This window comes from Homo sapiens, chromosome 6 (assembly GCF_000001405.40).
Source record: "Homo sapiens chromosome 6, GRCh38.p14 Primary Assembly".
Classification (NCBI taxonomy): Eukaryota; Metazoa; Chordata; class Mammalia; order Primates; family Hominidae; genus Homo; species Homo sapiens.
In genome coordinates this window covers 68,265,418-68,283,200 of record NC_000006.12, presented here as the reverse complement: position 1 = coordinate 68,283,200, position 17,783 = coordinate 68,265,418, and the positions used below count along the sequence as shown (strand labels likewise).

Here is a 17,783-nt window from a genome sequence, read left to right as displayed (position 1 = left end):
ATAACAGTGGTGAAAATGAGCATCCTTGTCTTGCTCTAGATCTTATAGGAAAGGCTTTCAGTTTTTCCCTGTTCAGTATAATAGCAGCTGTGGGTCTGTCTTATATGGGTTTTATTGTGTCAAGGTATGTTCCTTCTATTTCCAGTTTTTTGAGGGTTTTCATCATGAAGGAATGTTGAATTTTATCAGATGCTTTTCAGCATCAATTGAAATAATCATAAAGTTTTTCCTTCATTCTGTTGATATGATGTATTACATTGGTTGATTTGCATACGTTAAGCCATCCTTGCATCCCTAGGATACATCCTACTTGGTTATGATGAATGATCTTTTTTGTGGTGTTGAATTTGGTTTGTCAGCATTTTATTGAGGATTTTTGCATTAGTGTTTATGAAGGATATTGTAGTTTTCATTTTTGAAGTGTCTTTGGTTTTGGTATCAGGCTAATGCTGGCCTTGTAGAATAAGTTTGGATGTATTCTCTTCTGCTCCATTTTTCATAATATTCTGAGTAGGACTGATATTATTTCTTATTTAAATATTTGGTAAAATTGACATCAAGTCCTGAGCATTTCTTTGCAGGACACTTTTTATTATGGCTTTGATCTCATTACTTATTATTGGTCTACTAAAGTTTTAGACTTCATGTTTCAATCTTGCAGGTTGTATATGTCTAGAAATTTATCCATTTCTTCTAGGTTTTCCAGTTTATTGGCATATAGTTGCTCATATTAGTTTCTAATAATTCTTTGAATTTCTGCTGTGTTAGTTGTAATTTCTCCATTTTCATATTGGATTTTATTTATTTGGGTCTTCTTTCTTTTTTTCTTAGTCTAGTTAAAGGTTTGTTGATTTTGTTTATCTGTTCACAAACAAACTTTTTGTTTCATTTATCTTTTGTGTTTTGTTTCAATTTCATTGATTTCTGCTGTTTTCTTTATAATTTTTCTTCTACTAATTTTGGGTTTTGTTTGCTCTAACTTTTCTAGTTCTTTAAGATGCATTATTAATTTTTTTATTTAAAGTTTTTCTACTTTTTCGATGTAGCTGCTCATTTGAATAAACATTCCTCTCAGTACTGCTTTCCTTGCATCCCATAGGTTTGTTGTGTTTCCATTTTCCTTTGTTTCAAGATATCTTTAAATTCCCTTCTTGATTTCTTCATTAACCTTCTGGTCATTCAGCAGCATGTTGTTTAATTTCCATGTGTTTGTATAGTTTCCAAACTTCCTCTTGCTATTAATTTCTCATTTTGTTCTACTGTGTCAGAGAAGATACTTGATATGGTTTCAATTATTTTGAAATCTTTAAGGTTTGTTTTGTGGCTTAATATATGGTCTGTCTTTGAGAATGATTCATGTGCTGAGGTGATGAATATGTATTCTTCAACTGTTGGATAAAATGTTCTTTAAATATCTATTAGGACCATTTGGCCTATATTGCACATTAAGTCTAATGTTTCTTTGTTGATTTTTTGTCTGGATGATCTGTCCAATGCTGTAAGTGGAGTGTTGAAGTCTCCAGCTATTATTGCATTGGAGTCTCTCTCTCACTTTAGCTCTAATACTATTTGCTTTATATATCTGGGTGCTCCAGGATTGGGTGCACATATTTACAATTTTTATACTCTTTGTGAATTAACCCCTTTATCAATATATAATGACCATCTTTGGCTCTTTCTAGTATTTGTCTTGAAATAATTTTGTCTGATGTAAGCTTAGCTACTCCTGCTCATTGTTGGTTTCTATTTGAATGAAATATCGAAGTTGTCTTATTGAAGTTAAACCAGTTTGATATTCTATAACTTTCTTGTACTTGAATATTTGTATATTTATCTGGTTAGGAAAGTTATCTGTTATTATCCCCTTGAATATAATTTCTACCCCAATGTCTTTCTCTGCTTCCTCTTCAATAACTCTTAGATTTGCCCTTTTGAGGCTATTTTCTAAATCTTGCAGTCATGCTTCATTCTATTTTATTTATTATTCTTTTGTCTCCTCTGACTATGTATTATAAAATAGCCTGTATTCAATCTCACAATTCTTTCTTCTGGTTTATCAATTCTGGTGTTGAGGGACTCCAATGCATTCTTCAGTATGTCTATTAAATTTTCAGCTCCAGAATTTCTTCTTGATTTTAAATAAATATTCAATCTCTTTGTTAAATTTATCAGATAGGATTCTAAATTCCTTTTCTGTTTTATCTTGAATTTTGTTGAGCTTCCTCAAAAAAATTTGAAGTCTCTGTCTGAGGGTAACATATCTCTGTCTCTCCAGGATTAGTCACTGGTGTCTTATTTGGTTCATTCAGTGATATCATGTTTTTCTGGATGGTCTAGATGTTTGTAGATTTTAGTCAATGATTGGTCATTGAAGAGTTAGGTATATATTGTAGTCTTCACAGTCTGGGGTTGTTTCTTCCTGCCCTTCTTGGGAAAGTCTTCCAAATATTCAAAGGGAATTAAGTGTTGTGATCTAAGACTTTGGTCACTGCAGCCATACCTGCATTAGGAGACATATCAAGCCCAGCAATGCTGTGACATTTGCAGATTTGAAGAGGTACTGCCTTGGTGCTCTTGGGTGAGATCTGTGAGAATTCCTTAGATTACCTTGGCAGGTCTAACAGTGACATCTAGGAGCAAAGGCCTGGAATCGGGGACTTCAGGGGTCTGCTCAGTGCTTTATTTTACTGCTGCTGAGCTGTTACCCAAGTTACAGGACAAAGTCCTTTTTACTCTTCCTTTTCCTTTCCTCAAGTAGGAGTTTCTCCTTGTGGCCACCACAGCTGGGAATGTGCTGAGTCACACTTGAAGCCAGTATGGTACTGGGTCTTGTCCAATGACCATGGTGAGTACTGTCAGGCTACCACTGATATTTATTCAAAGCCGCAGGGCTCTTTTGTCAGCTGATGATGAATCCTGCTAAGACTAAGTTCTTCCCTTCAGGAAAGTTGGTTTCCTTCTGTTCCAGGGATTTTCTGGAAATGTTGCCTGGGAACTAAGGCCTGGAACTGGGACTTCAAGACTTCTTTTGGTGCTTTATTTTACTGTGGCTAAGCTGGTATCCAAGTTGTAAGACTAAGTCCTCTTTACCCTCCCCTCTCCATTTCTCAAGTGGAAGGAAAGAGTCTCTCCAGGAGCAGTAAGCTGCCCTGCCTGTGGTTGAGAAGGGGTGACACAAGCACTCTCTTGGTCGCCCCAGCTGTTGTCTCAGTGGATCACATACACTCCAAGTCCACTGGCTCTGAGCCCAGCCCAGAAGCAGTACTTGTCCAGGAATTACAGTCCTTGTAGCCTAGATTGTCTTTCAACTTTTCTTAAGACCCTAGAACACTTTAGTGTGGTGTGTGGCTAGTCATAACTCATGTTCTGCCCACTGGGGTAGATGATTCCCCTCTGGCTAGGGCTGACCTAAATGTTCATTCCTTGGGTGCTGGCTGAATTCTTCCCTGTGTTGCTTTCCACTGTTACAGAACCACACTGAGTTCTACTGCAGAGGCCCACAATCACTGCACTCTCCCTCCCCCTATCACACAGATTTTCTCTCCCTACCATGCAACCACATGACCATTGCCAGGGGATCAGGGACAGCTGGGGCCGACAATTCAAGACTGTCTTTCCTAGCCTCTTTAGTGCCTCTTTTCCTTGATAGGGTGTTAAAATCAGATACTGTAATCACTCACCTGATTTTCAGTTCTTATGCAGATGATTTCTTGTGTGGATAGTTGCTCAATTTAAAGTTCTTGCAGAGGGAAAATCACCGGAGGCTTCTGTTTGGCTACCTTGCTCTGCCTCCTATGAGCTATTCTTAATGTTTCCACATGGAAGGATTTTCTTTAGCATAAATCTTGAGGCCCCTTCATGTCTTCTGTATTTTCATATGCTCTGTTCCTATACTGGAGAAACCATGATCTGATTGGTATGTTTTGAAGAAAAAAAAAATTAACAAGCCTTGGTCAACCTCTTCCTCTCTTTCTCTCTTCTCTCTTTCTCTTAGAAATGATGATCCCAGACAATGAAAATGCTTATCTTATTTTCCATGCTGTAAATCTTACAGAAGTAAGCCTCCTATGTGGGAAGAGCTTTCTAGATCTGGTGCTGCTGTTACTGGCTGCAAAATTCTGCCTGTATCTAGGACTCAGTATTTTTAAGAATACCTGTCTATAGATATAAACCATGATTCAGACTCAGTTCAGCTTTATCTACATTAAGACAATTTTTCTAATCTGCTTTACTATGCGTTATATTCAATTTAGTTCAGAATTTATTCAAATAAGATATGCATTTTTAATTGGGACCTGCTATATTTTCCAGTAGTCACTACCATTCATAGGATAAAGCGCTTTTCACACAGTAGCATAGCTATTCTAATTATAGTCATTTTATAGATGTGAACACTAAATGCTTGAGAAATTAAGAAATCTTGTTAATGGTCACACTGCGTGTACTAGCTATCTATAGCTGTGTAACAAATTACTACAAAACGTAGGGGCTTAACACAATGCCAGTTTATTACTGCAGTTTGTGTGGGTTAAGAATTTGGCTAAACAGCAAAAGAAACTATCATCAGAGTGAACAGACAACCTACAGAATGGGAGAAAAATTGTGCAGTTTATCCATCTGACAAAGACCTAATATCCAGAAACTATAAGGAATTGAAACAAATCTATAAGAAAAAAACAAAGAAACAATTCCATGAAAAAGTGGGCAAAGGACATGAACAGACATTTATCAAAAGAAGACATTTATGCACCAACAAACATATGAAAAAATCTCAATATCCCTGATTATTAGAGAAATGCAAATCAAAACTACAATGAGATACCATCTTATGCCAGTCAGAATGGTAATTATTAAAAAGTTAAGAAACAACAGATGCTGGCAAGGTGGCAGAGAAATAGGAATGTTTCTACATTGCTGGTGAGAATGTAAATCAGTTTAACCATTGTGGAAGACAGTGTGTGATTCCTCAAAGACCTAGAGGCAGAAACACCATTTGACCCAGCAATCCCTTTACTGGGTATATACTCAAAGGAATATAAATCATTCTATTATAAAGACACAATAGCAAAAACATGGAATCAACCTAAATGCCCATCAATGATAGAGTGGAAAAAGAAAATGTGGTATATATACACCATGGAATACTATGCAGCCATAAAAAAACGAATGAGATCATGTTCTTTTCAGGGACATGAATGGAGCTGGAACCCATTATCCTTAGCAAACTAGTGCAAGAACAGAAAATGAAAAACCACATGTTCTCACTCATAAGTTGAGGCTGAACAATGAGAGCATATAGTCACAGAGAGGGGAACAACACACACTGGGGCCTGTTGAATGGGTGAAAGGAAAAATAGCTAATGCATGCTGGGCTTAATACCTAAGTGATGGGTTGATAGGTGCAGCAAACCACCTCGGCACAGTTTTAACTAAGTAACAAACTTGAACATCCTGCACATGTACCCAGGAACTTAAAATAAAATAAAATAAAATAAAATAAAATAAAAAGAATTTGGCTACACTTTACTTAAGTCCCCTCTTCTTGTTTTCTCAAGAGACTGTAATAAAAGTGTTGGCCAAATGAGTACAGTCTCATTTGAAGATTCAACTGGAGAAGTATCTGCTTCTAAGCTAATTCAATAGTTATTGGCTATATTCAGTTCCTTGCAAGTTATTGACTGGAGGTCAAGTTCAGTTCATTGCCACATGGACCTCTCCATGGCAGCTTGCTTTCTCATATAAGGGAAGTTGAGAAGGCAATAGATGGTCTGCTAGCAAGATAGAAATTACAATCTTTTGTAACCTCATCATGGAAGAGGTATCCCATCACCTTTGCTGTATTACATTGGTTATATTCAAATCATTAGGTCCAGCCTGCAATCCAGAGAAGAGGATTACACAGGGGCATAACTACTATAAGACGGAGATCTTTAGAGACCATCTTAGAAGTCTTCCTACCACACTGTGATTAAGTATAAGAGTCAGTATTTCAGTATTTGAATCCATTTCTTCTGACGTCAGAATTCATATTCCCAGCCACATCATTAGTTGAGAGTAGCCTCTGCCCTCCACAGGGCTGGAGTATGTAGTGAGTATATAACTCTATAATTCTCTACTTCTACCCTTCCATTTCTGGCAAGCCAATATCTAATAAATATAATCTTTTCAAGAAAATTTAGAACAGAATCTTCAGGTCATGGTTAAGCTTTCACTTGGGCATCACTTTTAGGTGAGTTTACTTATCTCTGTTAGAGGTACAATATATATGTATATATATAAAATTTTTTTCTTGAGACGGAGTCTTGCTCTGTCGCCAGGCTGGAGTGCAGTGATCTCGGCTCACTGCAACCTTCGCCTCCCGGGTTCAAGTGATTCTCCTGCCTCAGATTCCCGAGTAGCTGGGACTACAGGCGCGTGCCACCACACCTGAGTAATTTTTTGTATTTTAGTAGAGACAGGGTTCACCATGTTGGCCAGGATGATCTCGATCTCCTGACCTCGTGATCCACCCCTCGCAGCCTCCCAAAATGCTGGGATTACAGTGGTGAGCCGCCGCTCCCGGCCATGTTTTTGTATTTTTAACTCTCAGATCAGTATTTCTTTCCAGGTTTATTTAGCCTCCACAAATCAATCATTCAGAGCACAAATTACCTCTAAAGTCTATTTTTAAAGTTAAACATTAATTTTTAATACTAAGGAAGTAATTCTAAATTAAATATGTTAATCAACCTAAATTAATCTTTTACTTATATGAAGCAGTTTTATTTCTCTGTATGCATTTTAAAGTCAAATATAAGCCTCTATTTATATTACTCTCCAAATTTTATCAATTTATTTGAGTATCTCTACAGATATACAAGGTGAATTGTACATAGCTTTAGAGACAAGAGAAAATTATTTTTGTATAACAGTAATGTTTTAAGTGCTTTATTCCCCTTGCTTATTTTTATAATGAACAATATCAACATCATCAGGAAGATTCATAAGATAATCAAAGTTCACATCCAAAGATATCACATTTTTTCCAGTGGGTAGGACTTATATGTTTCCCAATTAATTACATTATAATACTTTAAATGGTGTCTCCACTTTCAAATCATTTAAGTAGGGATTTCAAATACTTCAGGTTTAGGCTCTTCTGCTTCACAGACTCAGACTCTGATTCAAGTAGATATTTATGTATTCATAAACACTTAACCAGACTGGTGGAGTGTCTCTTTATAAAATCTTGCAGTAGTTTATTATAACATAAATTATTCCCACTTAATCTGTCTATAAATGTAAATTTTTCTTTTATATTTCTGAAAGCTATATGAACTTATTATCAAGAACAAGCTCTGAAACACAAAATGCTCCATTTGTCCAGCAAATATTAAGTCAATCAAAATTATTACTTGCTTTTAAACGTAAATCCTTATAGTGCCCCATATTTCTGAATAATCTCTTTGGATTTTGCAGTATTCCATAATTAACACCCTAACTGTTCGTACATCTCCTCTTTTATTTGCTATTCCATCCCTTGAGGTCTCTCAATTTTTTAAATTTTCTTTGTGATAGTCATTGGAAAAAACATAACATTTGACCTTTCATAAAAAAATAGTAGTGGCTTCTTTCTTATTCTCTGTAGGCATTGTCAAATGCAACTATGCCTTCAGAAAGGTCTTGTAACTTATTAAATTTTTTTGTTAGCACAGTAAAAATTCATAAACTTTTCTTTGACAAACTAAAGAATAAAATGTAGGCACTCTGTTAAAAGTTACTTAATATATGAATGTGTGGGAAATATAATCAATATTGCTGCTTTGTTCCCATTGTGTCATACAACATTAACAATTACGATTATTGAAATTATTTTAGGAAAATAGTTGTTAGTAACTCGAAATTATTTCTGAATTAAAATATTATTATTTGAGTGAACTTTTTAAAATAAACTGTGCTCTAAAGCCATTTATTTTATAATTGTAAATGAAGGCACATTTGAAATAACCCAGCGTTGAAGCTCACTGTGTGTAAAATATAGGTTTGATATCATACAACCACACATATTTTAGAAACTCAGCCTAAAGAAAAGTGTTCCTCAGCTTTGTCCAACAGAAGGTTTAATTTGGATCACGAGAACATTAAGTTCTTTTTACATTGACCATTTATGATATTTATCCCAAATGCTAATTCAGAACCTGCCATATGGTAATGGAAAGCCATTCAGCAAACACATAATGAAAACAATTCTGATCCTGTATTTTACTGTCAATCTATGCCAATCTTAAACTATAGCAAATTGTAGGGCTTTTGTGGAATTTTAAGACTTATTTTTTCTGTTGGATTTGATTCATTATATTTTTAAATATTTTTTGACATTTGAGATAGGAGTACTGGAGCTATTCACCAAAACATTTATCACTGAATATAAATATCAGACAACATATCTGGGAATGTGTAGAACCAACATAGTATGAGAAAGAGAAATCTCTAAACTCAGTAACCTTTAGCAAAATATCAATCAAGTATGTGGAAGATAGAGAATCTAATTTAACAATATATTTACATAAAATAATGCAGGATTCTTAGACCTAGCTACATATTAAAATTGCATTTTGATCACTTTACAAATTATCGGAGGTTCATCTTCAGACATCCTGATTTAGTAACTCTGGGACAGGGTCAGAACATCTGCATTTCTAAATAAATCTTGACAATTTTTATTTACAGCTAGCCTTAAAAATCATTTAAATTCTATAATAGTAGGAATTAATATTATGCAGCATGGTTTATTTGTGTATTATAAAGATATATTTGCCTATGTGCTCAGAAATTATTTCACATTAGGGATTGATTCTTATAATTATTGTTACAATATTAAATATTTAGTGAATTATTCCTATGGATTCTTACAGTTGAAAAGAAACAGCTATATGAAGAATTGACTATGTCACATAATTTAAGAAATAAAATTTCTCTTAAACCAATAGAAAGAGCTTCTAGGCTGAAACTTGATGAGCCATATTAAGAAAATAGAACATAGCATAGAAGGTAAGTGGGGTCAGCAATAACTGACCCCATCCTGAAAGATGTCAATGTACTAATCCCTGGAACCTACGAATATGTTACATCACACCAAAAAGGGGAATTAAGATTCCAGATGGGATTAAGATTGCTAATCAATATACCTTAAAATAAGGAGATTATTCTGGATCATCCTGGTGGGCCCCATATAATCACAAGGGTCCTCAAAAGTGGAAGAGAGAGGGAAAAAAGGAGCTAAATATGAGAAGGATTTGATATGCTATTGCTGATTTTGAAGATGGAGGAATGGGGCCATGAGCCAAGAAATGTGTGCAGCCTCTAGAAATTAGAAAAGGGAAAGAGAAGCATTCTCCTCTAGAGCCTACAGAAAGAAATGCAGCCCTGCAAACACTTTGATTTTAGCCCACCAAAACACATCTTGGACTTCCACCCTTCAGAATCATAAAATAATTAATTTGTATTATTTTACACCACAACATTTATGATTATTTCTTACAATGGTAATAGGAAACTAAAACAGCAGGTAGTTAGAATACCAAAGTGGGAATGAGTGAAAGAAAAGTTGACAAAGTGCAGAATGTAAGAGTGAAATTAATCTGGACTGTGGGTAATCCAGACTCTAAAGGATTGTTCTTTAGTTTAAGGTACAGATAATCCAAGTAGTTTTCAAGGTTGTAGAGAATGCCATTTGAGTAATTTTTTGGTTTTATTTCTACCTTTTCTGTCCCTTGCTTCCTTCCTTCCCTCCCTCCTTCCTTCTTTCCTTCCTTTCTTTTTTTCCTTCCTTCCTCCCTCCCTCCCTCCTTCCTTCCTTTATTCCTTTCTTTTTTTTCCATTCTTTATTCACCAAGGAAACCTTTTTATTGGATAATTTAATGTTCCATGTAATTATCTCAAAAACAGTATCCTGGATGGAGAATATATATAATTCTGCTCATTAGAAGAAATACTCCCTATTAAAAAATCGGTAAATAAACATTTAACTGTAAATTACTCTGTATGACTTTAGTCAGTGAAAGTCACTTACTTTCTTATAAATGTTCATCCATGACTGAAAAACCTTAGCCCTTTAAGAGTGAGATTTTATCAGTGAAGCAGATGTGCTACAATTATGGTTTCATTTGACACATGAAATTCTGTCTGAAATATCAATCCACATTTTAGATATTTTGATGTTTCACTACTCACCATGAAATTGACCATCAATTTCTAAAATACTTTTACAATGCATTAGTTCCTCCTTATATGCACCCAGACAAGTATCTCTTTTACATATTTCAGTACTTACACATATGTTTAGCCTGTTCTATTTTTTATTACACTTTCATAGTTCTTTCTACTTTCATCTAGGTGAGTCTTAGCTTTACAATAGTATAATAATATCTGCAGAGGCAGGAAGCACTTATATTTTCAGTGTTCCCCGACATGCAGTTACAAGGATTCAGTTTTTCCTTTATAAAAAAACTCTTTATAGAATGTTATTATTAATTATATATTATTTATTGTTTCCTACATAATGCTCATCATGAACAATTCTCATTAATTTACATGTTGTACCATGCGTTCTCATTTGCCCCTAATAGAAGCAAATAATATTATACTATATACACACAAAAAATAGATTTTTTTAATACAAAATAGTTTGATCATTAGTTACTAGGTATAAATTTGGGTGGCTTTTTGTTCAGCAAGTGCTTTTTTGATTTGACTCTGTTATTTTTCTTCTTTCATGATCAAATTAACACAAATCTTACCATTGTATGATGGTGAGAAACAGAAATTGCATGCATTGTATAAATTAAAGTGTTTGCTATTATAAATTTTAATATTTAGTTGATCCTCAGTTCCTTTATTAATTTACATGTTAGATAAGTGCTTATCATTTGTCACATTGCATGGTTTAAGACTCACAGGATTTTCTTTTTCTATCTTCCCTCCTAGTACATTTACCATTGAATTGCAAAATGGTCAAAGAATGTCAAAGTTCAAGTAAAGAATCAGTCAGGACATGGCCGGGTGCAGTGGCTCATGCCTGTAATCCCAGCACTTTGGGAAGCCGAGGTGGGCGGATCATCTGAGGTCAGAAGTTCAAGACCAGCCTGGCCAACATGGTGAAACCCCATCTCTACTAAAAATACCAAAAATTGGCCGGGCATAATGGTGGGCACCTGTAATCCCAGCTACTCAGGAGGCTGAGACAGGAGAATTGCTTGAACCCGAGAGGCGGAGGTTCCAGTGAGCTGAGATGGTGCCATTGGACTACAGCCTGGGCAACAAGAGTGAAACTCCATCTCAAAAAAAAAAAAACAAAAAATCAGTCAGGACCCCTGAGAGACAGGTCAATAATGATTAATCATGAGGATCATTGTCTTAATCCTGATTTCCCCTTTATACACATTATTAAGTGCCTACATTATTCAGGCCATATTAGGTTCTGGGGATATGAGGAGGCATAGGAATCATTAACTGTGTCTTGGCTGTTGTTAATAGTACAGAAATGAACATGGGAATGCAGATATTTCTTTGAGATGTTGATTTTCTTTTCTTTGCACTCTCAGAAGTGAGATTTTTAGGCTGTATGGTAGTTCTATTTTTAATATTTTGAAGAACCTCCATACTGTTTTCCATAATGGCTGTACCACTTTACATTCCCACCAACAGTGCAAAAGGATCTCCTTTTTTCCATACAAAAGGAAGAAAATCCTACTACTTGTGACAACATGGTTGAAATTTGAAAGGTATTATGCTAGGTGAAATAAGTCAAGCAAAGAAAGAAAAATACTACATGATTTCATTTACATGTGGAATCTAAAAAAGTCACTTATAGAAACAGAGTTGAATATGGAATGTGAAAGACTGAAATGCAAGAAGGGGATCTGTGTATAGCATGGTGACTATGGTTAATAATACTGTACTGTATACTTGAAATTTTCTGAATTCTATATTTCCACAGTTCATACATGTATTGAATCATCATGTATATGTTTGAAGTATACAATTTTATTAGTCAATTATACCTCAATCAGTCTGTTAAAATAATGAAAAGAGTTATAACTGACAGTACTTTTTACTCATAAGAGTTTCCTGGTCAATCACATCATACTCTGTATGTGTCTCTCTACTTCTTCATTATGGTCTTATAGAAAGTATACTTTCTTAGAGTTTCACCTTTCTTTGGCAGAGTTTGTTTATAAATTCTGCCAAAGTACTTCTCTCTTCCTTTATCCATAATTGTTTTTCCCTTACATTCTAGCAACCTCTTCTTTCCAAAACTTCTTGGGAAATTTCTTTAAAGTCCATATTGCTTCATCTCCGTAAATGGTTTCTTTCTGTCAAATATAATTAACATCAGAGAATGTTAATTCCTCTTCTTGTTTCTTTTACAGTTTGAGAGAAAATAGTCATCAGGCCAAATCAAAATTTAGTCAGATTATTTTCTATTAGTGTGGAGCTTTGCTATGTTTATAACAAGCAACTTTCTGTATTAGGTATGTATTGCCACCTATTTATATTTTTTGCTCATTCATTTCTTCATTCATTCACTTTATGTTCATTAAATGCCAAATAATTTCCTGGCAAACTCCAGAGTTAAACTTTTTCACTCTGTCCTTTAGTATGAAAGGAGATACTTTCTCTTCTTTTGACAGTTTAAGATGACTTATTTTTAGTCAAATATGCAAATAAACTAAAATTTGCTAATATTTCTGTACTAAAAATAAACATTTTTTTTGTTTGCTGCTTTGTAGATACACCCAGAGGCATTGAGTACATTTTTTAAATAAAAAGTAAGTCTGTGGAATGTTGATATCAGCCTAGAAAATTGCCAACTATAACATGCACATCTGGTAGAAGGGGCGATTTCTCTTTAACTGTAGGCATCTCTTATTTAGTTTAAAATGAAAGTAAATTGATTAATATTTCTACATGAGAACTTGTGTTTTAGAATATTAGACTAAATTTCATGATGTTAAATTTCCTTCACTAATGCATTTGTCTTTTTCGAAGCATTCTATATACATTAATGAAATAAAAGATTGTACTCAATGAACAATGCACAAAAATATTATTTAATATTTCAAAATATGTATAAAATATTTATTTTACAAACCTTGGAATTATTGCACACAAAAATACTAAATAAAATATGGGTTTTCATATGATCACCTCAATTGATGCCACAAAAGCATTTGAAAAAATTCAGCATCGCATTATGATAAAAACCCTGAACAACATAGGCATAGAATAGACTTAACTCAAAGTAATAAAAGCCATACATGACAAACTCCCAGCCAACATCATTTGGAATAGGAAAAAGTTGAAAGAATTCCCCCTGAGAACTGGAATAAGAGAAGGATGCTCACTTTCATCACTTCTGTTCAAACAGACCTGGAAGTCTTAGCCAGAGCAATCAGAAAAGACAAATAAATAAAGGGCATCCAAATAGGGGAAAAAGGAAGTCAAACTGTTACTGTTCACTGGTGATATGATCATATATCTAGAAAACTCTAAAGTCTCATCCAAAAAGCTCTTAGATCTGATAAATGAATTCAGTGAAGTTTCAGGATATAAAATCAATGTACAGAAATCAGTAGCACTACTATATAACAAATACCAAACTGAGAATCAAATCAAGAACTCATTTCCTTTTACAACAGCTGAAAAAGCCAACAAACAAATAAACAACAATAACAACAAAACCTTAGGAATATACTTAGCCAAGGAGGGTAAATATCTCTACAAGGAAAACTACAAAACACTGCTGAAAGAAATCACAGATGACACAAACAAGTGGAAACACATTCCATGCTCATGGATGAGAAGAATCAGTATTGTGAAAATGACCATACTGCCCAGAGAAATCTACAGATTCAACGCAATTCCCATCAAAATACCACCATCATTTTTCACAGCACTCAAAAAAAATCCTAAAATTCAAATGAAAAGAAAAAGAGCCCACATAGCCAAAGCAAGACTAAGCAAAAAGAACAAATCTGGAACATCACATTACCTGACTTCAAACTATACTATAGACCATTAGTTTCATCCATTTCTCTATTATTTTTAAATATTCAATGATGCTGTCATATTATTGGAAAATAGCAAAATCTTAAACTAAAAGTTTATTTAGTTTAAAACATTTACTAATATGTGTTATATATTCACCTATATAACACACATATACAAAATTTTATGCCAGTTTTTAGAGTTATACATAATAACCATTGTATATTATGCATATGTAACAGTTATACACACATAACAATTATAGTTTATGCCAGTTATAAATGTATAACACACATATAAAATGCTTTTTTAAAGAGAAGAAAACACTGCATTTTACTTTGGATAATATTTCATCTTAAGGGAAGTACAAATATATATTTTTTACTATCATTTCGTCAAGATCCCAATTGTCTCACTATCCATATATTATCTAGTTCTTTGTTGCTAGATCATATAGTAGATCAAATAAGCATTGAAAACAGAATTAATAAATATGTTACAGAATAAAACAAGGGCATGAGCCTATGCTAGATAACCAATTAGTTATCATCCAATAATTTACAAACTTAAAAAACCATCTATGTACAAAGTTTATATTTTAGGCAATAATTTGTCTTATATATTCTACATTATGTCAATAATGATCCAAGGGAAATTATTTCATGAGACTCAGAATTTTAGTATATTCTAAAATGTTATTTAAGAAAAAAATAATGACTGCTATTTTCCACATAATGAAAAAAACAAGACAAAATATGTTCAACCTTATTTGTCCACCTGCTTAACATATGGGACAAATGGAAATCTAAATCAAATTATAATAGGTAATCCTTATTATTCATGTATTTTTTCTCCAAAAGGGCATTGTTAGGAGGCGGAATTTATAGTAAATAAGTCAATTGCAAATATTAGTTTCACAGACTTGTTTAAACTGCTAATAAACTCTATCATCTCATGAGCTCAAAAACTTTCTGATTTTAATCCAAGATTGAGCTGTGTGATGGTTGATATTACGTGTCAACTTGATTGGATTGAAGAATAAAAAGTAGTGTTCCTGGGTGTGCCTATGTGAGTGTTGCCAAAGGAGGTTAACATTTGAGTCAGTTTTTATATATATCTCAGTTTTTTTATCCATTTATCCAACAATATATGCTTAGGTTGTTTATCTTGACTACCATGAAAAATGCTGCAACAGACATGGGAATACAGCTAACTCTATGAAGTGCTGACTTTATTTCCATTGGGTATACACCTGGAAAAAGATTGCTGGTTTATATAATTATAATTATATTTATAATTATTAAAAACAATTTTATTTTTTTTGAGGATTCTCCATACTATTTTCTATAATGGCTTTAGCAACTTATATTTTTACCAACAGTGTAGAAGGGTTTCCTTTCCTCCACACTTGTAGTTTTTATAATAGCAGTCCTAATAGGTTTGATGTGATATTTCATTGTCCTTTTTATTTGTGTTTCCCTAACGATTAGTAAGGTTGAACACATTTTTGTATACCTGTTGGCCATTTGTATGTCTTTTTTGAAAAGCTGTCCATTAAGAACTTTGCTAATTTTTAATTTTTTTATTGCATGTTGTATTAGTCTGTTCTCCAACTGCTAATAAATACCTGAGACTGAGTAATTTATAAGGGAAAGAGGTTTAATTGACTCACAGTTCCACATGACTGGGGAGGCCTCAGGAAACTCATAATCATGGTGGAAGGAAAGCAAACACATCCTTCTTCAGAGGGTACCAGGAAGGAGAATGAATGAGTGCCCAGCAAAGGGGGGAGCCCCTTATAAAACCATCAGATCTCATGAGAACTAACTCACTATCACAAGAACAGGATGGGGAAAACCACCCCTATGATTCAATTACCTCCACTTCTTCCCTCCCTTGACACATGTGGATTATGGGAACTAAAATTCAAGGTGAGATTTGGGTGGGGACACAGCCAAACCATATCAAGCATGTACTCTCTTCTTATATATTTTGAGTATTAACTTTTTATGAGATATATAGTTTACAAATATTTTCTCCTGATCTTCCAGCTTTTCATTTTGTTGATGGCTTCCTTTGCTGCTGATTCCTTAGTTATATATAGACCCATTTGTTTATTTTTGCTTTTGTTTCCTGAACTTCTGATGTAATGTCCAAAATATCATTGGCAAGATCAATATCAGGGAGCTTTTTCCCTGTATCTTCTTCTATGAGTTTTATGATTTTAGTTATTGTGTTTAAGTCTTTAATCTATTTTGAGTAGATTTTTGTGTATAGTGTAAGGTAATAACTAAATTTTTTCTTTTACATGTGAATATCCAGTTTTCCCAATACCATCTACTGAAAAGACTATTATTTCTTTATTGCGTCTTGGTGACCTTGTGAAAAATTAGCTGACCATATATCCTTGGGTTTATTAACAGGCTTTCTATTCTATTCCACTGTTCTATGTCTGTTTTTATGCCAGTACCCTACTCTTTTTGTAATGTGTTGTTTGAACCTACTCACTGGACAGACTACTAAAGTTATTTTATTTTTTATATATTTATTTATTTAGTCTTGCCTTGTCACCCAGGCTGGAGTGCAATGGCACAATCTCGGCTCACTGCAATCTCTGCCTCCCAGGTTCAAGTGATTCTTCTGCCTCAGCCTCCCAAGCAACTGGGACTACAGGTACGCACCACCACATGCCGCTATTTTTTGTATGTTTAGTAGAGACAGGGTTTCACCATATTGGCCAGGCTGGTCTTGAACTCCTGACCTCGTGATCTGCCCACCTCAGCCTCCCAATGTGCTGGGATTACAGGCAAGTTAATTTTTATGAAAATATTTATATATGTACGTGATATCCAGATGGCACAAAGAGTCCTTTTTATAGGTACAATTATTACTCTCAGTGATTAGGTGCAGTTATATACCTACTTTTCTGAGGATGCTCATTAGAAAGAGATATGAGTATAACCAGTGGACAGTGCTCTCAGAGCTGCCTTCAGAATGAAACAGGTTAAAGTCAGAGACTCTCAGTCTATTTGCTGATGTATGGAAACATTGCGCTGGCTTCACTCATGCTGCTGCTATAGCATGCTCTCTTTTCTTCCCTAAATCTTTGGAAATGCTTTGCCTGTTTTTCTACACTCATCTTGGGTGATCACAGCTGTTTTCTCTTGATACAATTAGCCAAAAGCCCAAAAGAAAAAGCCAGGCACACAGCATCCAGATAAGTAAAAATGGCATAGTCTTAAAATGTATAACTTAGTGAAAAATACTTTTTTTACAGAATTAATAGCAAAACAGTTGAGCTCTCCAATAACTTTCTCTAACTTATAGTTGCTCAACAGGTGTTATCTATTTGTGGTAGATTTTGCTATGAAAGTTATATTTGTTTCATTTATATAGGGCTCCTCCATCTCTAGATACAACTAATCTAGTTCATTTTGGTGTGCTTTACATATTATAAGCTAATTTATTTGAAGTTTCTTTGAAGCACACATGAAATATTATTCAAAATGTTTTGTTTTCTGTCACTGTTTAGAACCATAAGTATTTTATGCTGTAGAGGAATGTTCTAAATTCAGCTTCAAATCAGACTTTGTGAAAGTGACTCCAGTTCAATGGCATTTACTCATTTTATTTATATTAAATATTTGGTGCATAACGTGAATATGTTCTGATGTCAATAGATATTGGAGATGCAAGAGTGACTTTGCTTTTCTGAGTGCCAAGTACTCTTGAACACACTGCCAGAGTTATCATAG

At 34.1% G+C, this 17,783-nt stretch overlaps 1 long non-coding RNA gene across 1 annotated transcript in view; it reads left to right on the top strand.

Moving 5' to 3' along the window:
- LINC02549 (long intergenic non-protein coding RNA 2549) overlaps window positions 1–17,783 on the top strand; it is a 102,930-nt gene that overhangs the window by 46,699 nt on the left and 38,448 nt on the right. Inside the window, exon 3 of the long non-coding RNA NR_125854.1 lies at window positions 16,586–16,701. This is a non-coding gene — a long non-coding RNA (long intergenic non-protein coding RNA 2549). The remainder of the gene's footprint in view (window positions 1–16,585; window positions 16,702–17,783) is intronic.